Below are 27,647 nucleotides of genomic sequence, written 5' to 3'. Positions count from 1 at the left end.
TTTGTAACCCACCCGGTAGGTCAGAAACACACTAGTGATGAAGGCCAAGCAGAGGCAGGCTTCGAGAGCTCCGGGCCTTCTCAGGTGGGAGGGCTTCCTCCTGATTGGAGCTGGTGTATGGAGGGGGTGGCTTAGGAGCCAGACCTTGACAGTTGGAGCTGAGATAGAGAGAAAGGCAAATGTGAGCATTTTTTAACTTTCCTACCTTCCCCCTTGACAAAACCTGCACTTTTGTGCACAGGACATTGCTGCTTGAAATGTCTTTTCACACTTAAATCATGTTCCAACTTAAATACAGAGGCTGGTTCTTGAACATTTAGAAACATCTCGTGGTAGCCTCCCAGGCAGCAGCAGCCCGAGGGCGGTGGCCCAGCCCTGAGTCCCCAGCATTCACTCATTCCTGTTTGCCACTACTTGATATGGCCTAAAGGTTAAGAACAGAAGACCCGAAGCCACAACTTCTGAGTTTGAATCCTCTTGTCATCTTTGTATCCTTGGCCAGTAGCTTAATCTCTTTATGCCTCAGTTTCCTCCTCTTTGAAATGGGTTCATATTAATGCCTCCTTCATGGGATGGTTGTGGAGATTGAATTGACATGTATATCCATAGCAGTTAGAAGAGGAAGTGGTACATGGGAAACATATGCTATATAAATGGTAGCTATTATAAAAATGGAAGTGCTGATATTGGTGAAGTATGGACCTCATAAATATAAAACAATTGAGACAAGGATGTAAATTATGTGGCATGCTGAAAGCAGTGAATCTTCAGGCACAACCCACTCCTCACAGTTGGATTCAGTTTTGAAGCAAATGAACAAAATGAAAGTGTACAAAATGCTAGTCAAAGATTGTGTCTAAAATGGGTTTTAGCATGCCTTTAGCTATTTTGTAAGATGAGCCTTTTGTGCTATTTTCACATAAGTGACTTACATGTAAACTTTCAGATGCACATTGTATTTGCTGCCCTAGGAGAGCTGAGGTGCGTACACCTTATCCTGTGGGCACCAGGGAGCCAGGGAGGGTTCTTGAGGAGGGGAGTGACCTGACTCTTGGCAGTTGGCATTTTTTGTAGGGAATGCCTATCGAGAATGCTTGGAGAATGGGACGTGGGCCTCAAAGATCAACTACTCACAGTGTGAGCCCATTTTGGATGACAAGGTGAGTGGCCCTCACCTGCTGTGACCCCAGGCCTCACACAGGTATTTGGACTCAGGTTGAGCAGAGAAGATCCCAAGGGGGGCAGACCAGTCCTTTTGTCACCCAGTCACTCCCTTCTGTACCTCCTGCCCCTGCCCCCAGTGTCCTGCCCTGTGCTTAGTGACACTGTAGGGGAGTAGAGAAGGGGGACATGGAGTCCTACCTTCAAGAGAGCTTGGGCTGCTAGAGGACAAAGCCAAGGTGGCATGTGACACAAAAAGGGAATAACCGTGTAATCAATGCTCCTAACATCTTAGGGGTTGTGTGACTGCACACCTTCCTCTCCCTCTGGGCCTCAGTTTCCCCATCTGGCATTCTGATTCTGTGACTCCACATGGAAACAAATGCAGCCCCCCAAGGGCTGTCCCCATGAGAAGCTGGGTCCTGCTCTGCCTCTCTGGAGCCCTGCTCCAGCTCTCGCTCTGGAATTCAATTCAGTGCTGCTGAGGCACCGAACTCCTCTCCTTGAGGCTACGCCTCATTCCTGACCTGAAAGGATACATCTCAGCTCCATCCCCTCCTCATTACCCAGCATAGTCCTCAGTGGGGCTGGGACTTTGCCCCAGATGAAGTCCAAATTGAGAGGGAAAAACATTCACCCGCCCTGAGAAAGTGATTCTGCAAAATGTGAGCCACAGGGGTTCTGCAGGGAGGCCACTCAATGGGCAGGGGGGCCTCCAGCCCTTGGTCCTCACCTCCACTCTCTCTGCCCCTCCAGCAGTGGAGAATCAACACAGGGGTTGGGTAGGGTGGAGGGGTGGCTCTCCCTGGCAGGAAGGAGTATTTCATCACTAACTTTGTTTCAAATTGCCAACACTTGGTGATAATTAAAAGTCAACTGACTTTTATTCAGTTTGAATAGAATTTCTAAATTCTCTATAGACAGTGCACCCCCTCGTGTGGTCTCCAGGGCAGACTAATCTCAATGCACCCCACCCCAGGCCTCCCATAGGCCATTGCTTCTTAGGTAGGATGGCAGGTTGGCCCCATTGTATAGACATCAAAACTGAGGTCCAGAAATAAAAATCGACTCACCCTCAGTCACTCAGCCAGCTGGGATCCGGGCTGAGACTAAACTCAGGAGAAGCATTCTAGAGCCTAGAATTTTAAAAAAGAATCTGTACCCATACCTCTCAAAATGTGCCCCCAAAAATGCATGTTGGTGCCAGGCACAGTGGCACTTGTCTGTAGTCCCAGCTACTTCAGAGGCTGAGGTGGGAGGATTGCTTCAGGCCTGCAGATCAAGGCTGCGGTGCACTGTGATCACACCTGTGAATAGCCACTGGACCCCAGCTTGGGCAACAGAGTGATACCCCATCTCTAAAAAAATAAAAATAAATGCATGTTGGAAGGCCTGACCACAGCCATTTATAACAACAAGAGCCACCCAGGGCCAACAGGAACGAACCCTAAGAGCCAGGCACGGCAATGACACCTGGAGCACTTCTGCCCCCAAGGTCAGGACACAGAGGTGGCCACGGCTGGAATACCCAGCCCCACCCCCACGTGCCCATGCCTCCATCTGCCCTGCCCATGTCTGTCTGTCCAGCAGAGGAAGTATGACCTGCACTACCGCATCGCCCTTGTCGTCAACTACCTGGGCCACTGCGTATCTGTGGCAGCCCTGGTGGCCGCCTTCCTGCTTTTCCTGGCCCTGCGGTGAGTCTGCCCTTCCGCCTTGCTTTCTCCTCATCCCTCCCCCTACAGCACCCCCTTCACCTCTCCCAGACATTCTCACCTCCATTCTGGGGCCCAGCAGATAAAAGGGCCCGTGGAGAAAGTGGGGTTTGGGTGGGGTGCCAGGGCATGAATCACCAGCAGGCATGTGGGGTGCAGAGTGGGAGCTGGACTCAGAGGCCCAACTGTGGCCACCATGGGTGGGAAGTGGCTCCTAGTGCAGCCCTGCCCTCATCCCAGGCTGAGTCTCTACCTGGCCTCAGGGGGAACCCAGTCCCAGTTGACCCCTGAACCTGGCTGACCCCTGACCTGCACCTCCCACAGGAGCATTCGCTGTCTGCGGAATGTGATTCACTGGAACCTCATCACCACCTTTATCCTGCGAAATGTCATGTGGTTCCTGCTGCAGCTCGTTGACCATGAAGTGCACGAGAGCAATGAGGTCATTGCTCGGGGAGACTCGGGGCTATACCTGGGGGGCTCTGGGCTCCGGGGGCACCCATCTGTCTGTCTGGTCTCTGCTTGGACCCCTCCTTTGTCAGGAAGCTCACTACCTGCTAAAGCAGCCCTCTTCTTCTTGAGCAGCTTTTACTCTTACAAGCTCTTCCTAATGTTGAACTTCTGCAACTCCACCCCATTCTTGCCCCCACTCTGAGAACAGATCCCCTCTGCTCTCTCCAGGCTCTGAGACAGACCCCTTGGAGATTTGCACACAGAGACTGATGTTCACCAGTCCCTGCTACTCTCAGCTGGTGACAACTGACTTTCTGGCTGCTCCTTGGCTGACCCATGGCCAGAATGCTGTCATCTGGGCTGTGGCTCAGGTGCAAAACCAGACCTGAGCTCACCTCCACCCTAGCCATTGTCCCAACAGAGCTGGGCTGGGAGGAGCAGGAAGCTGCCAGGCTGGGAGCTTCACAAAGCTGACTCTAGACACATTTATCCTAGTCCACTCCTCATCTTGTGGATTCAGGTGCCCTCAAAGACCCCTTTGAGAAAAGGAAGCTAGAACTAACCTCTGTTGAGCTTTCTCTCACTTAATCCTAATGAGACCAGCAGGGATCATTTTCCCCATTACATAGACATGGAAACTGAGACTCACAGAGGTTAAGTGACTCGCCAAGGTCACATGCAGTGATGATACCTCTACATAAGGGGCTATCCCACATGCTAACTGTCCACTCTGGATTTCTGTCCATTGCTGTGTACTGTGTCCAAGCTATTGTAAAACTGTAGACTAGTCTTGGGCCATCACAGAGCCCTGTGGCACACCGACAGAGACTTCTCAGTACATTTCCTTTGGGTGGCCTGTGCCTGAGCAGACACCAGCCTGGTGTGATCCTTAACATGGTCCCACATAGAACACTGCCTCAGAATCAAACAGGTTCACTCGAGTTGAGGGTGCCTTCTAGCTCCAACGTGGGCTTGTGCTAATAGAACATCATCAACCCTGGATGAAAAGTAGGGTTGGGAGGAGGGGCTTGGTAGCTTCCCACCTCAGCAGGACTTTCTCAGAAAAAAGGAGACAGCCAGCCACAGGGACTGTGCAGGGAAGCCCAGAAGCAGCCAACAGCTCAGCACAGGAGGGTTATCTGAGAACTGGGGCTGTCAGAGCCAGACAGAGAGGATGGGCTGTGTGCAGAAGCAGAGCCCCTGACGCACAGCTCCCCGGACCTTGAGCTGGCTCCATCATTCCCCATGTCCCAGCCTTGGCTCTCAGGGTGCCCTGGGGATGAGCCTGTGGGGAAGATGACCAGGTGGGGTCTGTTGAGAGGAGCTCTGGCCTGGAAGCCCAATGTCTAGACCCTGGCCCTGCCATGGCCCACTGCGTGGCTCTAAAGGGGCAGGGTCTTCCCCTCCCTGCCTCCTTTGGGAAGGTAGCCTTGGTGCCTGGGGAAGGGTGGCCTTGCTCAGAGGGACAGGGACACATTCCCCTCTGCTGGGAAGGCACGGAACCACAGCAGGCACAACCACAGCCACAACACAGCTACCCTCATGCCTGTCTTTGCCATCCTCTATCTCCTTCAACCACCCTGGAAGGCAGGGTTACTTTTTGAGGTTCAGAGAGGTGCAGTGACTTGCCGGGGGCCGTGTACTTTGCAAGTCTCCCTCCAGAGCTAGTAATAATTGTGCCAAGTCCAGAAGTTCCCAAACCCAGAGTCTTTGGAGAATCCCCTCCCTGGCCGCAGCCCCACTTCATACACCCTTGACTCACTTTACTCACTTTTATTTTTTCATTTTTTTCTAAATGAAATTCCATATCCCATCCCCAAAAGGAAGCAGGTCTGACTTGCTATGGATTGAAAATGACTCAAAAAAACTAAAATGAAAACACAACAAGATGGTTGAATTCCAGCCTCTGCCTACAGAAAGCTCAGAGCCAGACTCTTGCTCTCTTTACTAGAATGAAAAATTAGAAAGAGTTAGAGAGAAGTTAAAAAAAACACGTTGGCCCCAGTGGAGAATGGCACCTTAACTTAATCTGAAAGTGTGAAAGAGCACTGGAGAAGGATGAAGCTTTTCAGAGTGAGGTTCGCTGGTATTTGATGGCATGTCCACGAACCCCCTTTGGGGAGCCCTGTGTCTTGTTGCCCTGCCTGGGGATGGGTATGTCCTACCTGGGCCCCAAGCTGCCTCCTGACAGCCTCTCTGCCCTGCACACAGGTCTGGTGCCGCTGCATCACCACCATCTTCAACTACTTCGTGGTGACCAACTTCTTCTGGATGTTTGTGGAAGGCTGCTACCTGCACACGGCCATTGTCATGACCTACTCCACTGAGCGCCTGCGCAAGTGCCTCTTCCTCTTCATCGGATGGTGTGAGGGTCCCAGGGGCAGCAGGGCCTAGTTGGGGGGAGGACTTCTCACCAGGCCATTTCCCTTCGTCTTGGGTCCAAGGACCAGAGCCTGGCCCTGCCCTCCACCCCCAGCGCAGTCCGGTGGATGCAGCTACTTCCCTCCATGCTGGTGAGGAACAAGCAAAGGATCTCTCCAAAGGATATTCCTCAAATAGCTCTTCTCCCCCTGCCAGGAAGGACCTGTCCAAAGGCCTTTGTCTCTGGCTCAGAAACTGGCTGGCTCTACTTCTCTATCACAAAATCACGCAGCCCTGCTTGGAGAGAGGGGCAGGGGCATGGGCCAGGTGTTGAGGGACAGGGCACCCCTGGGGTTGTGGGTGGCCTGCTGTTGGAAGAGTAAAAACATGATCCTAGCCCTGTTGTGGTACCCCACGGTATGTCCTACAAGAAAGTCCCTGTCCATCTGTCCCCTGCAGCCCAAGTCTTTCCTTCTTTCAGGCATCCCCTTCCCCATCATCGTCGCCTGGGCCATCGGCAAGCTCTACTATGAGAATGAACAGTAAGTGGATGGGCCAGCCATGGGGGGTCATGGGGAAGGGAATGGGGGTGTTAGGACAGGTCAGCCTTGGGCTCTGGCCAAGCCGTGGAGCAGGAATTGTAGCCACACCTAGACAGATCCACGTTCCTGTTGTCCTTAAATTGAAAAAAATAGTCCTGCACTCAGAGGTACTCACATGGTAGGGCTCAAGGAACTTTGCTGAATTAAGTTAGGAATTGTGGTTCCTTGAAGTGCCCCCCGACCCAACGCATGACCCCTTTGGTCTTTGTAAGGCCTCCTCAGACTTGGATGTGGCAGCTCTGGCCCGGGGTATGTGGAAGGGGCCAAGGCCGCACATGACATCCAGAGCTGTCCATGAGCATTTAAAGAGTCCATGAGCATTTAACAGAGCTTGTTTTTTTTTCTGAAGTCTCAGTCTCTGCCTGGGTGCAGTGTCCCATCCTGAGGTTCTCCCTATGCCAGAGGCTGTAATATGCTGAGCCACAGCCCAAATGACAGCAACTCTGGCCATGGGTCAGCCAAGGAGCAGCCAGAAAGTCAGGTGTCACCAGCTGAGAGCAGCGGGGACCAGGGAACATTAGCCTGTATGCAAATCTCCAAGGGGTCTGTCTCAGAGCCTGGAGAGAGCAGAGGGGATCTGTTCTCAGAGTGGGGGCAAGAATGGAGTAGAGTTCCAGGAGCTCAACATTAGGAAGAGCTTGTAAGAGTAAAAGCTGCCCAAGAAGAGGGCTGCCTTGGTAGGTGGTGAGCTTCCTGTCAAAGGAGGGCTCCAAGCAGAGGCCAGAAACCCTGGGAGACAGGGAGAATCCTATCTGAGGCAGGTCTGCACTGGATGACCTCCAAGATTTCAGAGGAATGAGTTCCCCAAAGTTGATGGCCCCTCCCTGTGGTCCAGTAGTTGCTGGCCGACCCAGACCCTAAAGCATTTCCCCTGACCAGCATCCCCGGAGAATGAATTATGCCTCTGGCAGCCAGTGAGGCCAGCCAGGCAGCAGCTCCCCTCACTGGGTGCACAAGCATTGGCTCAAAGACGCAAAATCCCAGGCTGGAGGTAGGAAGGCTCCACTTCCACATCTGCTGCTTTGTGTGGCCGAGTGAGTGCCTGGCACACGGAACAGCGGGTTTCAAGCAATATGGGAACAGGTGGCCTAAGGCAATTGGCCCTGGGCCAGCAAGGGGGAGCCCAGCTCTCCCTTTATTCCTGTGCCTCCTGCATGCCCAGTCCTATGCCTAGCAGTCTGCAATGGGGCAGGTAAAAGAGGAGGAGAAAGAGACCCATGGCCTGTCCTCAGTCGGGCTGGGGAGATCAGACCCACCATGTAGAGCAAAAGACAGCCTGGTGGGTAAGGGTGGTCAGTGGAGCTGGTATTTCCACCAAGGCTTTCTGGGAAGGGGCAGTCCTGGAGATTGGGTCTCAGGAAGGGTAAAGCTGGAGGACCCTGGGCCCAAGTCTGTGGGGGTCCCCCAGTTCCAGCTCAGGAGGCCCCCTACAGCCACCCCATCTTCACAGGTGCTGGTTTGGCAAGGAGCCTGGCGACCTGGTGGACTACATCTACCAAGGCCCCATCATTCTCGTGCTCCTGGTAAGCCCTCAGCGGTGGCTGGGATGGGGCTGGGTGCCAAGAGGACAGAAGAGGGCCCACCCAGGCAGAGACGCTGGGAAAGATGTGGCATGGGCAGCCCTGCGCACACACTCTATATGCCACCCCCGTACCCTGTCCATGCCACCCTGTGCCCCAGCACCACCCGGCCTTCCCTTCCTCATGCTCGATGCCCTGGCGCAGCCCTGCACCACTCTGCTGACCTCAGGGCTCTTTCTCTGGGAGGAGAAAGGATCTGATGGGTAGACTTCCTGTGCCCTCCCGGTCTGACACTGTACAATGCTGAGAAAGCCAGGTGAGCAGGCAGCTGGTGACAAGAGAAGAGTGTGCGGGCTTCTGTTCATTCCAGACCTACGTTCCCCTCAGCCCCCAGTGACCCTCTCCAGGTCCAGCCCACCACCCCCAGCCTGAAGCGGTGAATACCGGGATGCAGCATAATGAGGAATTGTTCCTTGTCCAGCTCCCTGCCCTTTGCCAAATGTATTTGCATCTAAGGTATAATTGCCACACATCTTTAATCCACAATGAGCTTTAATTAAGAGAGAGTTCAAGTAGAGGCTGCATTCTGCAAAAGGAACCCATTATATATCATACCTTTAAAAAAAAGAGAGAGAGATAAAGAAAGAAAGACATACAAAAAAGCCCCGTAAGAAATTGGCATTTACGTAAGACTTATTTCAGGCTCAGTAATTTCAGGCTCCTGTATGTACCAGCTTCCTTAAAGGGCCACAGTTCCTTCTGGGAGACTCAGCGAGAGTGCCATCTCCTCCTGCACACAGAAGGTGCCTGGTGGGGCTTTCTTTTGTCTACCTTGGAGACAATTATTATTTATCTCTTTTATTTTCTTACTCTCCTTTTTCTGTGACTTCGGGTTTCATTTGACCTCCATCTTTGGAGTGTCCTTGATATATGTGAACTGATGAAGACTAGGAAGGTTTTTCACCCACTGCTGGAAATTCCACCGTCAGGGCTTGGTTCGCTTCAGAGGCAGAAGCCAGGTTTTGTCAGCAGCTAGTAGGATTGTCCTTGGACTCCCAGCTGCAGTGAGTCACTCACCCCTCAGTGTGTATGGAAACCCCATGAGATCCTTTCCCTCCCAACCAGCTGCCAAGGGCCATCCTGGAGGAATAAGGCTTTTGATGAGCCTGGAACTGAGCCAAGGAAGGCTGGCCTGGATGGGGGACCAATGGTGGCAAAGAGTAAGCCCCAACTGTAAAGATGTTGGAAGGGTGGTGAGGAAATGCCAAGAGAAAGGGAGGCGAGGAACGCAAGAGCTCAGTGTCAAGACCCAGCTCCATGCTTCCTCTTCCAGACCCATTCTCTGGCTCCACCCCTGCGTCTGTGCTCACGAGCCCTTTCCTTCTTTCCTTTGGGCCCAGCTCTTTGCACCAACAGGGGCTTCCACATTCCAAGCTGAGCCCTTCCAGAAGCTCTATCTACATTATTTCCAACCCTTGCATGCTCAAGTCCTAAAAGAAGTAGGGTTATGCTCTCCATTTTACAGAGGAAGAAGCTGAGAGAGATGAAGTGGCTTGCCCAAGGTCACCACTAATAGCTAGCAGAGCAGAGGCTCAAAGGCAGGTCTCCTGCTTTGTCCCCACCATCTGCCTGTTGTCCTCGAGGTTGGACACGTGTTTGGTGTTCCTGCCATCCCTACACTCCCCAGCAGCTCACAGCTGCATTTCTGCTGCTAAGAGACACTCACTTATTTCTGGTTCTGAGAAGTGAATCAGGTGGTTGAATTTGCAGGAAGCCTGACTTCTTGCTGGTGTTGTCATTGTTGGTGTCATGGGAAAGGATTGGCAGTCACTAGGCCAGACACAGGTCTTAGTGGTCTCTGTGACTATTTCAGCCCATGCTGATCTTCTAAGGCAAGCTCTGTGGTTAGGCCCCTCGGGGGCAGACAAGGAAGCAGGAGCTCATGAGGTTAAGCAACTTACCCAAGGCCACACAACTGCAAATTGGAACAGTCAAAATTTGAGCCATGAGACTAGGACTTGGTGCTTCAGTTCATTTGGGAGGGGGGCCTCATCTTCAGTTCTTAGCCCATCTGCCATTTCTCCAGGTCTTTTTGACACCTTAGGAAAGATGTCATCTCCCCCACCCCCAACCCCTCCAGGCCCCCAGCTAGGCCACAAGCCCTCTGCAAGCAGGGGCTGTGACTGCCTGTCCACTTCGCCATCGCTGATGCCTGGCTCAGAGCCTGACACATGGTCCATTGATTCATTGAATGAATGAACAATTAAATAAAACCAGAAACAGGCTGAACGAGGGCAGGGTACAATAGACAGTTCTTACTAAAGAACTGGAGTGTGTTTTTAGCAGGGAGGTAGAGTCCAAGAATGGAAAGCCGGAGAGCTCAGTGTGGGCAGGGTGACCAGAAGGCTCCCTGGAGAGAGAGGAAGGTACCTGTGGTGGTGTGAAGGGGGAGGCTGGGAAACAGGCTCAAAGGAAAGAAGGATTTTCAGGTTACATAGACCCAAGCTGAGATGAGTGGGGCCACATAACTAAATGTCTGCCAAGTGTAAGGATGGAGACAAGGCCTTGGTTGCTAGGTAGATGAATGGATAGACGGATGGGCCAGTGGATGGGCAGATAAAAGAGTAGGTGGATAACTGAATGGATTGGTTATTGGGTAGGTAGATGGATGGGTAGATGGATGGGTACGTGGATGGATAGATAAAACAGTAGGTGGATAATTGAATGAATTGGTTGTTGGGTAGATGGATGGATGGATGGAAGGAAGGAAGGATGAATGGATGAATGGCTGGATGGATGGATGGATGGACGGATGGATAAAAGTAGGTGGGTAAATGAATGAACTGGTTGGTAGGTAAGTGGATAGATGGATAGATGAATAAAGTGGGTGGATAATTGAATTGATTAGTGGGTTGATGGATGTTGGAAGATTAATATTGAATTCAAGAAAATGTGGCAGAAATGAGAATATATTTTGATTCCAACAGTTTCTACTCTCAGGGAAGTCCGGAAGAATCAGAAAAGGTCAAATACTTTGTATTACTTGTATGAGAAAATTAGGATTCACTTATATGTTAAGGTGACTTGTGTCCCATGATCCAGGGGAATATGCCAGAGACCCAGGAGCTGGAAATTAGGTGAGCCCTAGGAGAAAGCTGGGGGTATCAGGTCATGGCAGCCCCGCTGAAGGCTTTCCATCCCCAGCCCTCCCTGGGACCCCCAGGCCATACCACTATGTGGTAAGAGAGCAGTAGACAGTGGCTGAGGTGGGGTGTGAGCTCTCCCTGCCCCTAGGGCTACCCGAAAGCTTGTGGGGAGCATCCAGAGGCTACAGGTTGACAGTCTCAGGATATCTGTCTGTATCCTGTGTCCCTCCTCTCCCAGCCAGGATTCAGAACTTGGGAGGGTTAGAAGGGCCCAGCCCAAGCTTAAGAAGCAATGGATTTTCTTGACAGAGTGTCAGAGGTGTGTGTGTGTGTGTGTGTGTGTGTGAGTGGGTGTGTGCACACGAGCCAGCAGACACCCCTGGGCTAACATGTGTCTCCCTCTGGCCCACGAGCACTTTGTCAGGAAACAGCCCCACTGTGTCAGGCCGACACACACTCCCTTGCCTGCCTGCCTGCCTATGCTCGGAGGCAGGTGAAGAGAAACGCAGATGTGCCCGGGCCCCAGATCCATGCTCACACATGCACACGCTCTGTGAGGCAAACACACTTGCACAAGTGCTTAAAGGATAGACCCACAGACCCACACTGCAGCTCCCAGGGGACAACACAGTCATAGTCACAGCCAATACAGATGAACAGACACTCGCAGGCCCATGGGGACCCACACCCAGCAGGGAGCAGCTGGGGAGCCACACAGGCCAGTTCCAGGGCCAGGTGCTGGGTGGGGAGGCTCTGGTGCTGAGGGAAAACTCAGAATGAAGATAAATGAGGCCCTTCCTGGGGCCTCAGAGCCAGCCCCACAGCCCATCCATCTTCCCTGTCTAGGGTGCCTACGAAGGCTCTGGAGTTCCTGGGCACAGGGGTGGGATGCTGGCAGATTAATCACTCATTCGGCAACTGAGTTCTTAATCCCTCCATCTGGCCTTGTCCGCCCCACCATGGCAGTGCTGTCCTCAGTCAGAAGGACCTCAGGCCGACCTAGAGCCAGTGACAGTGCAAGGGACTCAGAGAGCCCCGCAGTCAACAAGTAGGGACCCCGTGGCAGTGAGGGGAAGGGGGCTCCCATAGGGTCCCTATACTGGGGAGAGGGTTGGGGGCTTTCTCAGCCTCAGAGGGCATGCCCCGTGCTCTCGGTCACGACCCACAGAGGCTGCCACCTTTCCTCCTCAGTCCTGGGCTGGAGACACAGGCCCTGGAAAATGGGGCTGTCTCCCCATCCTGGCGAGGGAGGAGCACAGGCCTTGGGATGCTGGCAGGTGCTAGGGGGACAGGTAGGATAGGTGTGTGCGTGGGACATCGGTTTCCAGGGGTCTGCGGGGAAGGGGGCTGCCTCTCGGCTCATCTCAAACACGTGCTCCTTCCTTTTCCCTCTTTCCCATGCCCGCCCTCCCTCCAGATCAATTTCGTATTTCTGTTCAACATCGTCAGGATCCTAATGACAAAGTTACGCGCGTCCACCACATCCGAGACAATCCAGTACAGGTATGTGAGGGGGTCCCTTGACCCCACAATGGGGACAGGAGGAGGTCATCGGGCCGTCCCCCTGCTTCCTGGCAGAGCCCTCTGCCCCAGGCCTCACCCAGGGAGCTCGCTCAAGCTCCCGGAAGAAACACCACCACTGTCTCCCGCCGCCCACTGGGTGAGGCCCTGCCTGCCGCATGGGCTCAGACCTGTGTCCACCTCTCGCCCCCAGGAAGGCAGTGAAGGCCACCCTGGTGCTCCTGCCCCTCCTGGGCATCACCTACATGCTCTTCTTCGTCAATCCCGGGGAGGACGACCTGTCACAGATCATGTTCATCTATTTCAACTCCTTCCTGCAGTCGTTCCAGGTGGGGCCTGTGACCAGATGGGGGCCCCACAGTGAGCTTTCCTGAGGCTGCTCTGGCAGCCATGCCCTCACTAAGGGGGTCCCGTGGGACTGGCACACCCATGGCTCAGTTACATCCACAGAGTTAGAAGCCCGTACATGCTCAGCCTGAGCCTGGCCAGTTATCCCCATCCCAGCCTGGGTCTTCATCCTACCAGCCCGCACCTACTGTCCCAGCACCTGTTCTGAGGATGCAGGCAGCCCAACCAAATGCCCTGGGACAGGTCACACAATATTGAGGAGACCGGAGTCTGCCTGGCTCCAGGCCTGTGACCACTGCTCACTCAGAGTGGACCGTGGAATATCTGCACCCTGAGGCTAGGACCCCACCCAGCTCTGACTCCAGGGGTTCCTGGGTCAAATTGTCCCCCCCCCACCATCTTGTCCCCAGTGCCACCCCACCAGGCAGAACAGCTCCGCAGGTAGGTCACTGACCACTCCCTCCTTTCCCTCCTTTCCAGGGTTTCTTCGTGTCTGTCTTCTACTGCTTCTTCAATGGAGAGGTATGAAGCTGGGCCCTCGGGGTGGCCTGGGATATCCAGGTCCTCAGACCCCACTCCAGGGCAGCTCCATTGGTGCTGCCCGGCCTTGCTGGAGTGCCAGGGAGAGGAAGCCTTGAGATACCACCCGGCCTTAGGGGAACAGGAATCCTTCTCACAGGGGCTGGAGCCAGTTTAGAAGGTCAACTATGCAGCCCCGAAATAACATGCCAGCACCCCACATGTGCACTCAGAGCTGGGTGAGCAAGGAAGCCCAGGCCGCAGGGCCTCATGGAAGAGAGAAGCCAGAGCAGAGGTGGTGACAGAAGGAAGCTTCCAGAAAGAGATGTGTGCCAAGCAATCAGGTCTGTATGGACTCAGGGAGCAGAAGAGAGACCAGCACATTCCCCCGCTACCTGCCACAGAAAAGCCCACACACCAAGAGCAGGCTCTGGGGAGTCAGGCGGCCGTGAAGCTTGGCATGTGCAAGCCAATCATGAGGCCCAAAGCCCCAGTGCAGCTGACGCAGGGAAGAAGCGCACTCGTACCTGGGCTGGGGTGGATGAGGACATGGAGCAAAGAGCAGACACAGCCCCTAGGGCCTGGGAGCTTCCGAACACTCCAGAGGAATACACTTGCCTGTCTCTGCACAGGGCACTGGCGAGGTGTCTATGCAGGCCTGTGTCTCTGTGGATGATAGCACATTCCACTTGCAAAGTCCATCAGCAGAGACGGGTCCTGTGGGCTGGATGAGAAGAAGAGAGGGGGCCAGTAAGGCAAACAAACAAGGGATGTTTATGGAGCATTTATTCTGTTCGAACCATGTGCAAGCTAGGATGTGAGAGACACCATCCAATTTCCAAAAAAATTCAATTACCAAACAAATGAAGCTTAAATGGCACCGGGTAGAGCCAACTTTAGAAATGACCAAGACAGAGAGCTTTCCCTTTCAGGCAGTAAATGCCATGGTTAGTCAGGCAGGGGAGTCTAGCAGGAGGTAGAGAAGGTGGAGGGGTGCAGAGGGGACGGTCTTCAGGAGGGAGGAGGAGGCGCACCAGGTGTGTGAGCTGGGCGCACACCACCAACGCCCTGCAAGGAGCAGGGGCCCAAGAAGGCTGAGGGGGCCAAGTCTCCAAGCTGCGCTCTCTGGTCCCAAGATGCTAATTTTGAGGTGGCAGAGTGAGTCAGGGAAGGGAAGGCAGTGTGTCCAGAGGAAACTGGATGATCTGGGAGGACAGTGTGGAGTAAAGGAGGTGTGGAGTCAAGCTTCTCCAGGAAAAGGATAAGGAAGAGGCCCCTGGAGAGAGGCAACAGCATCAGGGAAGGACCTGTTTTGGAAGCAGACAGTTCCTTGTCATGAGGGTGGCAGTCGACCCATGAGAGCAGAAAGCAGAGGAGGGGATGGTCCCAGAAGCCCAGGGTTGGTCCCTGGGAGCCAGCTGAGCCTCTGCCTTCCCCACAGGTGCGCTCAGCCGTGAGGAAGAGGTGGCACCGCTGGCAGGACCATCACTCCCTTCGAGTCCCCATGGCCCGGGCCATGTCCATCCCTACATCACCCACACGGATCAGCTTCCACAGCATCAAGCAGACGGCCGCTGTGTGACCCCTCGGTCGCCCACCTGCACAGCTCCCCTGTCCTCCTCCACCTTCTTCCTCTGGGTTCTCTGTGCTGGGCAGGCTCTCGTGGGGCAGGAGATGGGAGGGGAGAGACCAGCTCTCCAGCCTGGCAGGAAAGAGGGGGTGCGGCAGCCAAGGGGGACTGCAAGGGACAGGGATGAGTGGGGGCCACCAGGCTCAGCGCAAGAGGAAGCAGAGGGAATTCACAGGACCCCCTGAGAAGAGCCAGTCAGATGTCTGCAGGCATTTGCCCATCCCAGCCTCTCTGGCCAGGGCCTTACTGGGCCCAGAGCAGAGAAGGACCTGTCCAACACACACAGCTATTTATAGTAGCAGACACAGGGCTCCCCTGCCCTACTCATGGAGCCAGCAGCCAGGCAATGGTGTGGCCCTGCACTGGCCCTTGGCCTCCACACTCAGTGGTGCCCCTGCAGTTGGGTGGGGTACGCCAGCAAAGGATCAGTTTGGCTGCCTTATCCCAGGGGCTGTCACCTAGAGAGGCTCACTTGTACCCCACCCTTGTTCCTGTGTCCCCTCCCCAGCCATCCTCCCGCCTTGGGGGCTCCATGAAGGATGCAGGCTTCCAGGCCTGGCTTCCTCTCTTGGGAGACCCCTTCTCTGCCTAGTCCACAGATTAGGCAATCAAGGAAGACGCCATCAGGGAAGCCACATCCTTAGTCAACCAGTTGCATCGTGCGGGGCAAAATGAGGAGCAGAGGCATGGAGGAGGGAGGCGTGGGATGGGAATAGCAGAAACCAACCATGTCTTCAGTGATTGAAACTCATACCCCATTGCCCTTTGCCCTCCAGTCTCCCCTTCAGAAACATCTCTGCTCTCTGTGAAATAAACCATGCCTCTTGGAAGTGGCCTCCCCTCAGGTCAAGTCACCCAGGCACCCGAAGAGTGGTGTGGGCCAAGGATCGTGGCTGGGTCTGAGGGGGCCACATCCATCTTCCTTAGTGGGCTCGGGCCCTGGCCTCGGGCCAGTTCTCTCTCTCTCTGACCTCTGGTAGGTTTGGAGTCTTTATGGTCAAAGCACCTGCAGGCGGGTCTGTCCCTTATCACTCCAACCAGGCTAATACCTGGCCCCAGCCCCCAACCAAGGGCAGCTTGATTCAGCCTGGAGGAGGTGTGCAGCTCATCCAGCAAGCCAGGGCCTGTCCCAAAGGCCAAGGCTCTGGAATCTGGTGGGCAGGGTAGACATGGCCCCTCAGTTGACCACCAGGGCAGCTTCCAGGCTTGGCTTCCGTCCCTGTGTCCCTGCAGCGGAGCCGCAGGAGTCAGGGAGAGAGAAGCATCAGGCCATTTCTTCCAAAAGAAACCAATGCTCTAGGTACCCCCTACAAAAATAAGTTTTGAAAAATCATGTATCCCGTCTTGCACATTTTTAAGTTGACATGTAGTATTTTTTACTTAAGTTTTAAATCCTTCAAAGGTGTGATTTCTGCCATTTTGTAAATATTTACATTTTTAAATAAAACTGCTGCAACAATTTAAAATACATCAAATGAATTCTGATCACCATGGTGATTTAACACCCACCCTCATCTATTTTAAAAACACCTGACCCAGCTCTCCTTCTTCTTCTTTTTTTTTTTTTTTTTTTTGAGACAGGGTCTCACTCTGTCATCCAGGCTAGGGTGCAGTGGCAAGATCTCAGTTCACTGCAACCTCCACTTCCCAGGCTCAGGTGATCTTCCCAACCCAGCCTCCCGAATAGCTGGGACTACAGGCACGCACCACCATGCTGGGCTAATTTTTGTATTTTTTTGTAGAGACAGGGTCTGGTCATGTTGCTCAGGCTGGCCAGCTCCGCTTTAATTGTGGGAAATGTTACATTGTTTCTTTCCTCTTTAATGTGTAGCTTCATTCCATTGCCCTATAGAATTTTATACTAATGCATTACTTTTATGGCTGAAAGTGTTTTATTGCTCACTTTGTCATACTTCTCTGCCACACAATATATGTATGAATGAAAATTAAAATATTTCATTTTCTATGACCAAAGTTTCAAGGGATTTTAAAATAATCTTCTGGGTTGAATTATTACAATTATTTTTTGATACAAAATACAGTAAGCCACTGATTAAAACAACATAGATACCTAAAGTTTTTATAAGTAACTAGTTAAACCTAAAAAGGAAAATGTATTGAAAACACAGCTTAATGAAATGGATAGGAAGTTAATGGCTCATGAATCTACAGGTGAATATTTATTGCTAGAATAAATCAGGACTCAGCATCAATTCTTTTCTTTTTTAATGTTTTATTGTTTATAGTGGGGTGTGCTGAGAAGCCTTTTCAATTCAGTAGATGATCTGGCACTCCAGATAGTCAATTCTCTATACTCTTGCTGAGATGTACAGTCAAAACTGCATAGTGATCTGTCACCAAAAATGACCTATCAGCTGGCTGTTTAATTAAGTGTCCTTTCAATTTGGCTGAAAAAGATGAACTGAACGTTATCTGACTTGCAGTAGGCTTTGGGCGCCCATGTCATCAGCTCATTCCATTTTTCACCACCAGCTGTGTGGGAATGCACTGCAGGTTAAGTGTGAGCCCTGCTTCTCTTGTCAAGAGGGCAGGGAGGTTGGGGCACCCTGATTTTATTTTCTCAAGTGACAGAACTCAGAACTCAGGGTATCTTAGAAAGTCTTACTGCATACCCAGTGGCAGCATGATGGCCGCATCCATTAGCATCATCAGGGCTCTTGTAGAACAAGGAGCCGCAAATGGTTTGGCCCCCAAGAGGCCACTTGGAGATTTCTGTGGCCAGATGAGGCTGTGAACAAGTGCTTATCGGAGCAGACGCTGCAGAGCCTGGCACCAAGTCCCAGGCATTCATCACTGCTTCTTAATGCAGCCCCCGGCTCATTACGCCAACTGTCCTTTGCTCCCTGGAGGGACCAAGGGCCTGTGATCCCTGCTGGGAGGCCAGGCCTGCCAAGGCCAACACCAGGAAGAGCATCAAAGTTGCTAACCTTTGTTCAGCAGGCACTTCGATATGCTCTCTCTCCAGTTCAGAGGAGGCTCCTCCTTGATCCAACCCCAGCCCTGAATCCCTCATTACTCCGTCTCCTGGTTGTGGCTCCCACTGAGCTCTATCCTTAAAATGCCACCAGAGCCATTAGGCCATCTCTCTGGGTCCCTACTTGTTAAGCTCGTTAGGCACCTGTTCCTTAAGCCAAGCCAGTCCTCATTAGCATCTGCTTCGGCGCTGGCAGCACCTCGTGGAGCTGGCCTTCCTGGAAAGTGGCCTCATTAGCAGACTCTCCTTCTCCGTAGCAGGCAAGTTCCAGCACCCAGATCCTGGAGGCCCTTAGGGTCCCTGTTTAACCCTTTCACCCACCCTGATTTACACAACTGGGGAAGACCTGAACCAGCCACAGGTCCTCACACCAGCCTCTTGGCCCCACTCCAAGAGAGAGTAACAGGCAGAGCCCTGACCCCAGCACAGCTCCAAGTCCCTGGGTCATCATCAAAGTGCGGCTAGAAAGTACCTGCTGGGGTACAAGCTGGTAAATGACACACGGCGGCAGGAGTGGCGAGTGGTGGAACATCTGTGGGGCAGGAGGTGAATGGCAGGGACGGCATTTCTCTCCCAGTCCCCTGCTGGGAGTGCCCATGGTGGAGGTGCTACCTGAGGGCCTGAAGCCTCAAGACCTGTGAGGGATGGCACTCGCAGAAAGTCCCTTCAGCATATAGACTTCCCTAGAGATGGAGGCCGACATTCCCGCGGCCACAGAGAGGGAGGCCCAGATGGAAATGACACAAGGGCAGGGACACAGAAAGACTTGTAGGAACACACGCACAGACCCAGAGAGGGAGGCGCACGCACCTTCCTCCATCATTTCCCATTCACAGAACACCAGGGTGTGCCAGATATGGAAGTAACAGAAAGACAAGTTTCCTGTTTCAAGAAACTCATAATCTGGTTGAGAACAGCACAAGGAAAAGGCAGGCAAAAGACACATCGGCTCCTGCAGCCTGCGCCTGCCCCCAGCCCCCTGCCCTGTCCATCTCCTAGTCCATGCCCACAGTGGCCCCAAGCCAGCTGGCTTCTAGGCACAAGGACCTCAGCTGCCCTCCCCACTTCTTTCCCCTTCACCCCCATGCAGGCCCGGATCTCCAGATGCCCCAAAAACAGAATAGGGAAAGAGGCCCAACTGTGCCGCTTGTGCTTTCCCCAGCATCTTCAGAAGCCCTGGGCAGGTGGGGGACGTGTGCTGATGCAGCTGGACGGGAAGGGAGCTGTCCTATGAGGGACAGGTGAAGGGACTAGAAAATGGCACGCTCAGGAGAACAAAGTATCCCCTGCACACGTCATGGGTCATGGAGGCAGGCCTAGGGCTGGGAGGCCCAATGGGAGTTCTTCCCTAGAGTGACATTTCAGCCAGGGTCGGGGAGGGTTTGGTGGTAAACAGCTGTGCCTCAGGTGGAACAAGTGGCTGGGGTGGCCGAGAGCATAGGAGGGGCTTGAAGCAGGGGGACCCCTTCAGCCAGGGAGCCCGGCCCCCTGTTCTGAGAGCACACCTGGAAGCAACCGGGTGGCATGTTGCACAGCAGGCTTCAGAAGTCATACTTGGTGGGGTCTAGGAATCCACACGCTTCACAGGCCCCCGGGTGATTCTGACAGCTGGGGTGTGGGCCAGCAAAAAAAGACACATCCCTTGTCTCTTCTTTCCAACACACACACGTGCTGTAGAAAGCAACAGCGACGCCAGGAGTGGTGGCTCATGCCTGTAATCCCAGCACTTTGGGAGGCCATGGTGGGCAGATCACCTGAGGTCAGGAGTTCGAGACCAGCCTGGTCAACATGGTGAAACCACCCCATATCTACTAAAAATACAAAAATTAGCCAGGTATGGTGGCACGTGTCTATAATCTCAGGTATTTGGGAGGCTAAGGCAAGAGAATCGCTTGAACCCGGGAAGCAGAGGTTGCAGTGAGCTGAGATCACACCACTGCACTCCAGCCTAGGTGACAGGGTGAGGTTCAGTCTCAAAAAAAAAAAAAGAAAGAAAACATGTGAATCTACTCATCAATATGCCCAGGATGGCTTCCAGGCTCTGCCTCGAAGGTGCCGTTAATTTTCCTGAGGGGGCTGTGCCACTTAGACATGTTAATTAGCAGGAGGAATGGGCAGAGGGCATCACTGCCCTGTGTTGACTGAGTTTCTGCCAGATTTTCCTCTTAGGTATTTGTTTGTTTAGGCCTCGGGGCCCTCCCATACAGCGCTGCAGCAGGCCTCCCTCGTCACAGAACCATCACCCGGCAAAACCTATGCATTAGTCAGAAATGTCCCCTCTAGGGGCTCCTTCAGCAGTCTCCACAGACTCCACTGCTGGGCTGGTCATTCCAGGGGGCATGTGCTGTTTCTTAGGCCCACAGCAAGAGTTCTGCACTCAGGAGAAACCCTAGAAACATTCATTAAATAAACCAGCCTTTCCTATTTGTCCCACCCAGAGCTGGTTAACCCACAAGAATGACCAAAGGCACAAAGAAGTCCCAGAGATCTATTGGCTTTGCACAGCGGGAGAAATCTGTCTGTGGCTCCATACCCTACCCTTACCAGAGCCCAGAGGCCAGTCCCAGACAGAGGGCATCACCTCTTCTCTACTTCACATGAGTGACAGCAGATGGGAGCCGGAGGGCCTCTATCACACCCTGCAGACTCTCCTGCAGCTGTCTCCAGATTAACCTCACCCCAAGGGGCCCCAGGCCTCAATGGCTCTCGACTTCCCACTGGCATTGGACGCAGGCTGCTCTTCAGCAGTTCTCTAAGCTGGGATGAGACATGGTTTGCCCCCGTTAGTCCAGGATGATTCCTGTGACCTCATGTAATTAATAGCATACCTTTCACTCTCACGAATCCTGGTCTGAACAATGAATTATATGATCACCCTACTTAAACCCCATATTTGTCTGCATACACAGCAGGGGCCACAGACGCTACTTGGATAAATGAATGATGAAAGCCAGATCCATAGGAAATTCTGAACGTTAGCTACCGCACTTTGGAAGGAGAACCTGAGTAGAAAGGATTTTCTGAGGTGATGTCCTGAGTTCCATCTCAGTGTCTGCTTGGTGGACAAGTGATTGAGCAGGGGCAAGTAGTTTATGATTCCGGTTCCAGAAAAAAACTGTCCTCAGCTTCTGCTGTGAATATGATGAAGTAATTAATTGTGCTTCTTAATTAGCTCTGTAGAGTGCCAAGTAAGGCCCCCTCTAGCTCTCTAAGGCCCAACCATGATAAACAATCCAGCATCACGAATCCCCACAGAGGCCCTTCCACCCAGGAAGGTGGAGAAATTCTAAGACTCGTCATTTCTTCCTTCAACCCCAGTTCCAGTCTGGTGTTCTCTGGGGAAGGCCAGTGGGGGGCCCATGAGCGATCATGCAGCCACCTGTTTTCCCTGTGCTTCCTGCTCGGCCCAAATGCTGTACCTGCAATTACAAGGGAATCCGTACTCCCTCTGGCCATTCAGGGACTTTCCACGTGTGCTCTATGGAGGCCCCCAATTCCTAAGCAAATTAACACCTCAGCCTGGTGTCTCCAGATCCATCTCATCCTTCAGCTTGAAAGATTCTGGGCCACCCCCCTCCCCCTTCATTGCAGACTTGAATGTGAAGATCTTTGCATCTGAAGAAATGAGGTGCCAATGCTGGTGGGGTTCCCCATAAAGGAGCTCAATCTGGAAAGAGGCCCCCATGACCTGCAATCAGACCTGGACTTCATTTGGGCAGCTGACCCCTTGGAGATGGGATAGATCCATTCCCCTAGAAAAACACAGTTGGGTATAAATAGAGCAATGACACCTCCACAGAAATCCTTGAAGGAACTACAGACCCAAGTTTATAAACCCCTAACATCAAGATAAAACTAAAACACTCTAATTTAGCTAGCAAGAATTCCCTAAGTTGGTGGTGCTTAGGCCTGGCTGTGTTTTAGATGCCCCACCCCAGGCCCTGAAACACATCTTGGGAGGCACGGACCCACATGTGAACAGGCTGCAGGAGTGCTCACGAGGCCCTGCGCTCGCCGTGTGTCCCACAGGACCCACCTCACCACTGCACGGGGCGACGTCACCTTTCTAGGCCCAGGGCCAAGCCTCCTCCATGGCCACCCTCACTGTATGTGAGGTTAGGCCTCACCGTCAGGTCGTAAAGGGCTCGAAGGCAGGGCCACATCTGGTCCAACCCCGAAATGCCAATACCAGTTACCCAGTGATACTGTTCCTTTCAGGGTGCCTTGACCAGCCCAGGAACTCTTGTCCCTAAAAGACCTTGAAGTCTTATAGTTTCTCTGCATGGAACCTCTTCTCAGAGTCCACCAGTGTTATAAAGATTTTTAAATTTACTTTTATTTTAGTGATAATCTTTAAAAATGCTTACCAGTTACCTCTTTTTTTGGTGTCAAATGGAAGATGGTCTTAGGGTAAATATACAACATTAGCTAAAGTTTCTCAACATGAGGACTCCGAGTGTACTACAGAGGCTTTTGATGTCTTGTTTCCTTCAAAAAGGGCACCACTCTATTAAGTTTGGAAACCTGCCTTCGTGCCCAACCATTCAGTGGCTGCAGGCCTTTTGCAGAGTACAGACGTGGGGCTTGAGCCAAGGGGTGAGTTGTGTGTGAGTAGCCATTTCTAACTAAGCCAATTTTTATACCAAAATACAGAATGTAGAGCTGCCCTGCAGGGAAAGATTCATTTGTTCATTAAGTCATTCATATATTTACTGAGGACTTACTAAGTGCTAGGCACTTCCCTAGGCAATGAGGATACAGCCAAGAACAAAACAGACCCAAATCCTTGTCCTCATGGAACTTACATTCTAATGTGGAGACCAAAAATTAAACAAAATAAAAAAGTAAAATACGTTTAAAGTGTTTAGTACTCAAGAGGAAAAAGAAAACAAGGAAGGCGATATGAAAGGGATGTGTCTGAATGTGGGGGTTGTGGCGCACATTGAAACTTCAGATGAAGCAGCTGAGGAAGGCCTCACTGAGGCAACTGCTGAATGACATCCCGAGATGAGGGAGTGGTTGTGGGAACCCTATCTTTGGAGGAAGCACTGCAGGCAGACAGAATATAACTGAGTACCAAGGTCCTGTCCTGGGCATGCTGGGCCACTGGAAAAGGGCCAGCATGGGGGTGGTTGGCACGGGGGTGGCGTAGATCTACGCTATTCTTGCAGGACAAGAAAAGCTGGACCAGCGAGGTGGCTCATACCTGTAATCACAGCACTTTGAGAGGCCGAGGTGGTGGATCACCTGAGGTCAGGAGTTCAAGACCAGCCTGGCCAACATGGTGAAACCCCGTCTCTACTAAAAACACAAAAATTAGCCAGGCACAGTGGCAGGCACCTGTAATCCCAGCTACTCGGGAGGTTGAGGCAGGAGAATCGCTTGAACCTGGGAGACGGAGGTTGCAGTGAGCTGAGATGGCGCCATTGCACTCCAGCCTGGGCGATAGAGCAAGACTCCATCTGAAAGAAAGAAAAAGAAAGAAAGAGAAGGAAAGGAAAGGGGAAAGGAAAAAGGAAAGGAAAGGTAAGGAAGGCCACTGAGTTTTGAGGACCAATGCAGTCTGGTGCCAGGTGGAAAACTGCTGATGAAGGGGCAAGGGCACGAACAGGGAGTTCAGGCAAGTCTTTTGCAGTAAACCAGATGGGTGATGATGGCAGCTTGCCCCAAGCTGGTGGCCACGAAGGTGGTGACAAGTAGGCCCAATTCTGATATAGAGTGCAGGTGGAGTTGACAGGCTGGACAAAAAAATGGAAAATCTGGGCTCAAGTTTTTTTTAAAAAACAAAAGACTTTCTAAAGCTTGCCAGTGGGTTTTTTCTTTCCCACAATTTCACTGTACTTAATCTCTCTATCAATTAGTTCACACTTAGATGCAGAACAGTGAGTTTTGATGAGCCCAAAAAGCTTTCAATTTGCCTAAATTGTTTTCGTTAGCATAACTGCTTTTGTGCTAATTATTGGTGATTGAGTTTTAAGACCCAGCAAACGCAGGCATAGGCTGGCAAATTCTATGCAGGCTCACTTGTGCACTAAGTCTTGCACATTAAAAAAAGGAGTGCAGAGAGCTTTGGCTCCCAAAGAGAGAAGGGCTCTCTCTTCCTAGCCTCAAGTTCCTGAAACTATCATTAAGTTCAGACACTAGAAGAGTCAGGACAAGAAGCCAGCTTACTTTATTTCTGGCCCAGAGCTCACAGCACCCCTCTGCTCTTTGGCACCACTACCCTCATCCAGCAAGAATAAGGTTCCCTAAAATTCCCCGGGAAAACAGAAATCCTACTGCTCACTTCCCCACTCTCACATCTACTTCTCTAACTGTCTCACTGGATACAATGTCCTACACATTCATATTCTCAGAGGAAACCCCTTTTGAGAGAGCAATGGGTCCAGCCTTTCACACAGCTAGAAAGTTCACAAGGTGCAACAGTGGTAGTGGTGCTTCTCCTAAGAGACTTAATATACTGATGCCCAGGCTCCACCCTCAACTCATTAAATTGGTTTAAGGAGGAGCCCAGACATGAGTTTTTTTTTAAAGCTCAAGTTACTTTAATGTGCAGCCAGGGTTGAGAACCACTGCCCCAACATCTTTTACTGAGGCAACAAATTTTCAAAGGTGTGTCCTTCAACACGAAAGGAAGATAGCCCATCCAGCAAGAGGGGGGCATGTTGCCAGCAAAAGTGAAGGGGCTCTTAGCCAAGAGGGCGAAGCTGCAGGCTGCGCCTCTCAGGCAACCCCTGGTGATACTCCCAAATCACATCCCAATTTCTAGAGGAGACAGTCCTCCAGATATCCACACAGCCTTAACTAAATTACTGCTTAGAGGCAGCTCAATAACCAAGAATTATTGAACAGGCAACAACAGGCGAACATTGAGGCACAGCAAAATTAGTCATCCACTTACTTACTGAATCTTCAACTAAATTTCACTTTGGTGTTGGCCAAATGCCACAAACACCTGCCTTAAACATTGTCAGACTATCAGCAAAGATGCCGGTGCAAGCAATGCTCTCAAAGCCTCTCCATCCTAGCCCAGCCCAAGAGATACAGATAATAGTTTTCCTTTGGGAAAGAAGGTTCATTTCAGGGCAACTATAACCAGAGATAATTTGGATTTATCTCTAGGGCATCCAGCCCTCTCAAGGAATAGACTCCACTGACTAAGACAGTTGCTGCCATTACCCTGCAATTACACTGGTTAAGGGAGTAGTAAATAAAGGTCTAGAATGAATCTACTTCATGTGACTTCTAATGAAAAAAACGATTTTGCAAGTTCTTATCACAAAGAACTTGAGACGTCTGACATCTTTAGTACCAGCTCATGAAAACAGTAAGATTATTTCCATGTTCTTTAGACTTGGTGATGAATTCCTTTTCTGGAACACCATCTATATCCACCATTTTGCTATTATGAGCTGTTGGGCAATATTAAGGTGGTGGACTCCTGCAGAAGCCAGGCAGATAGCCTCTCTGAAGTAACTCCACATTGCATTTGACTGAATGCCTGAATTCCAACCTAAGTATTAAAAATCTAATTCCTGTGTTCTTACATAACAGTCCATGGAAATTAGTTAGAATCTGACCTTCCTGGAGGAGCCAAGATGGCCGAATAGGAACAGCTCCGGTCTACAGCTCCCAGCGTGAGCGACGCAGAAGACGGTGATTTCTGCATTTCCATCTGAGGTACCGGGTTCATCTCACTAGGGAGCGCCAGACAGTGGGCGCAGGTCAGTGGGTGCACGCACCGTGCGCGAGCCGAAGCAGGGCGAGGCATTGCCTCACTTGGGAAGCGCAAGGGGTCAGGGAGTTCCCTTTCCGAGTCAAAGAAAGGGGTGACGGACGGCACCTGGAAAATCGGGTCACTCCCACCCGAATACTGCGCTTTTCCGACGGGCTTAAAAAACGGCGCACCAGGAGACTATATCCCGCACCTGGCTCGGAGGGTCCTACGCCCACGGAATCTCGCTGATTGCTAGCACAGCAGTCTGAGATCAAACTGCAAGGCGGCAGCGAGGCTGGGGGAGGGGCGCCCGCCATTGCCCAGGCTTGATTAGGTAAACAAAGCAGCTGGGAAGCTCGAACTGGGTGGAGCCCACCACAGGTCAAGGAGGCCTGCCTGCCTCTGTAGGCTCCACCTCTGGGGGCAGGGCACAAACAAAAAGACAGCAGTAACCTCTGCAGACTTAAATGTCCCTGTCTGACAGCTTTGAAGAGAGCAGTGGTTCTCCCAGCACGCAGCTGGAGATCTGAGAACGGGCAGACTGCCTCCTCAAGTGGGTCCCTGACCCCTGACCCCCGAGCAGTCTAACTGGGAGGCACCCCCCAGCAGGGGCACACTGACACCTCACACGGCAGGGTATTCCAACAGACCTGCAGCTGAGGGTCCTGTCTGTTAGAAGGAAAACTAATAAACAGAAAGGACATCCACACCAAAAACCCATCTGTACATCACCATCATCAAAGACCAAAAGTAGATAAAACCACAAAGATGGGGAAAAAACAGAACAGAAAAACTGGAAACCCTAAAATGCAGAGTGCCTCTCCTCCTCCAAAGGAACGCAGTTCCTCACCAGCAACTGAACAAAGCTGGATGGAGAATGACTTTGACGAGCTGAGAGAAGAAGGCTTCAGATGATCAAATTACTCTGAGCTACGGGAGGACATTCAAACCAAAGGCAAAGAAGTTGAAAACTTTGAAAACAATTTAGAAGAATGTATAACTAGAATAACCAATACAGAGAAGTGCTTAAAGGAGCTGATGGAGCTGAAAACCAAGGCTCGAGAACTACGTGAAGAATGCAGAAGCCTCAGGAGCCAATGCGATCAACTGGAAGAAAGGGTATCAGCGATGGAAGATGAAATGAATGAAATGAAGCGAGAAGGGAAGTTTAGAGAAAAAAGAATAAAAAGAAACGAGCAAAGCCTCCAAGAAATATGGGACTATGTGAAAAGACCAAATCTATGTCTGATTGGTGTACCTGAAAGTGATGGGGAGAATGGAACCAAGTTGGAAAACACTCTGCAGGATATTATCCAGGAGAACTTCCCCAATCTAGCAAGGCAGGCCAACGTTCAGATTCAGGAAATACAGAGAACGCCACAAAGATACTCCTCGAGAAGAGCAACTCCAAGACGCATAATTGTCAGATTCACCAAAGTTGAAATGAAGGAAAAAATGTTAAGGGCAGCCAGAGAGAAAGGTTGGGTTACCCTCAAAGGGAAGCCCATCAGACTAACAGCAGATCTCTCGGCAGAAACCCTACAAGCCAGAAGAGAGTGGGGGCCAATATTCAACATTCTTAAAGAAAAGAATTTTCAACCCAGAATTTCATATCCAGCCAAACTAAGCTTCATAAGCGAAGGAGAAATAAAATACTTTACAGACAAGCAAATGCTGAGAGATTTTGTCACCACCAGGCCTGCCCTAAAAGAGCTCCTGAAGGAAGCGCTAAACATGGAAAGGAACAACCGGTACCAGCCGCTGCAAAATCATGCCAAAATGTAAAGACCATCGAGACTAGGAAGAAACTGCATCAACTAATGAGCAAAATCACCAGCTAACATCATAATGACAGGATCAAATTCACACATAACAATATTAACTTTAAATGTAAATGGACTAAATGCTCCAATTAAAAGACACAGACTGGCAAATTGGATAAAGACTCAAGACCCATCA

General features: G+C 51.7%; 1 protein-coding gene and 1 long non-coding RNA gene across 8 annotated transcripts in view, besides 4 other annotated features; one reads left to right on the top strand and one right to left on the bottom strand.

Moving 5' to 3' along the window:
* The window catches only part of CRHR2 (corticotropin releasing hormone receptor 2), a 48,162-nt gene extending 31,716 nt beyond the window's left edge, over window positions 1-16,446 (top strand). For 2 of the 7 annotated variants that reach the window (NM_001202475.1, NM_001202481.1), the window contains 10 exons: window positions 1,075-1,160; window positions 2,749-2,858; window positions 3,201-3,318; window positions 5,541-5,694; window positions 6,172-6,232; window positions 7,743-7,815; window positions 12,376-12,461; window positions 12,673-12,808; window positions 13,308-13,349; window positions 14,788-16,445. In NM_001202475.1, coding sequence (NP_001189404.1) covers window positions 1,075-1,160; window positions 2,749-2,858; window positions 3,201-3,318; window positions 5,541-5,694; window positions 6,172-6,232; window positions 7,743-7,815; window positions 12,376-12,461; window positions 12,673-12,808; window positions 13,308-13,349; window positions 14,788-14,928 — 1,007 coding nt within the window. In that variant the 3' untranslated portion in view covers window positions 14,929-16,445. Of the gene's footprint in view, window positions 1-1,074; window positions 1,161-2,748; window positions 2,859-3,200; window positions 3,319-5,540; window positions 5,695-6,171; window positions 6,233-7,742; window positions 7,816-12,375; window positions 12,462-12,672; window positions 12,809-13,307; window positions 13,350-13,506; window positions 14,250-14,787 lie in introns of those variants that run through there. The other 5 variants (NM_001202483.2, NM_001202482.2, NM_001883.5 and 2 more) reach the window with 5 other exon arrangements.
* Window positions 5,708-6,250: an enhancer, noted in NCBI's record as "H3K4me1 hESC enhancer chr7:30701754-30702296 (GRCh37/hg19 assembly coordinates)". NCBI's record gives its function as "activates a minimal SCP1, AML or CMV promoter by ChIP-STARR-seq in naive H9 embryonic stem cells {active_cell/tissue: H9 hESC(naive)}" and the evidence as "EXISTENCE:reporter gene assay evidence [ECO:0000049][PMID:30033119]".
* Window positions 8,347-26,072, bottom strand: LOC124901609 (uncharacterized). The gene is made up of 2 exons (XR_007060276.1): window positions 25,552-26,072; window positions 8,347-14,070 (listed from the first exon to the last, which is right to left on the bottom strand). It is a non-coding gene; the product is annotated as an uncharacterized LOC124901609 (long non-coding RNA).
* Window positions 12,460-13,659: an enhancer, noted in NCBI's record as "MED14-independent group 3 enhancer chr7:30694345-30695544 (GRCh37/hg19 assembly coordinates)". NCBI's record gives its function as "activates an origin of replication core promoter dependent on BRD2, BRD4, P300/CBP and CDK7 cofactors, and independent of MED14, by STARR-seq in HCT116 cells {active_cell/tissue: HCT116}" and the evidence as "EXISTENCE:reporter gene assay evidence [ECO:0000049][PMID:35650434]".
* Window positions 14,508-15,497: an enhancer, noted in NCBI's record as "H3K27ac-H3K4me1 hESC enhancer chr7:30692507-30693496 (GRCh37/hg19 assembly coordinates)". NCBI's record gives its function as "activates a minimal SCP1, AML or CMV promoter by ChIP-STARR-seq in naive H9 embryonic stem cells {active_cell/tissue: H9 hESC(naive)}" and the evidence as "EXISTENCE:reporter gene assay evidence [ECO:0000049][PMID:30033119]".
* Window positions 25,886-26,581: an enhancer, noted in NCBI's record as "NANOG-H3K27ac-H3K4me1 hESC enhancer chr7:30681423-30682118 (GRCh37/hg19 assembly coordinates)". NCBI's record gives its function as "activates a minimal SCP1, AML or CMV promoter by ChIP-STARR-seq in primed H9 embryonic stem cells {active_cell/tissue: H9 hESC(primed)}" and the evidence as "EXISTENCE:reporter gene assay evidence [ECO:0000049][PMID:30033119]".

This window comes from Homo sapiens, chromosome 7 (genome assembly GCF_000001405.40).
Source record: "Homo sapiens chromosome 7, GRCh38.p14 Primary Assembly".
NCBI classification, from domain to species: Eukaryota; Metazoa; Chordata; class Mammalia; order Primates; family Hominidae; genus Homo; species Homo sapiens.
This window is presented reverse-complemented; position numbering and strand designations above follow the sequence as displayed.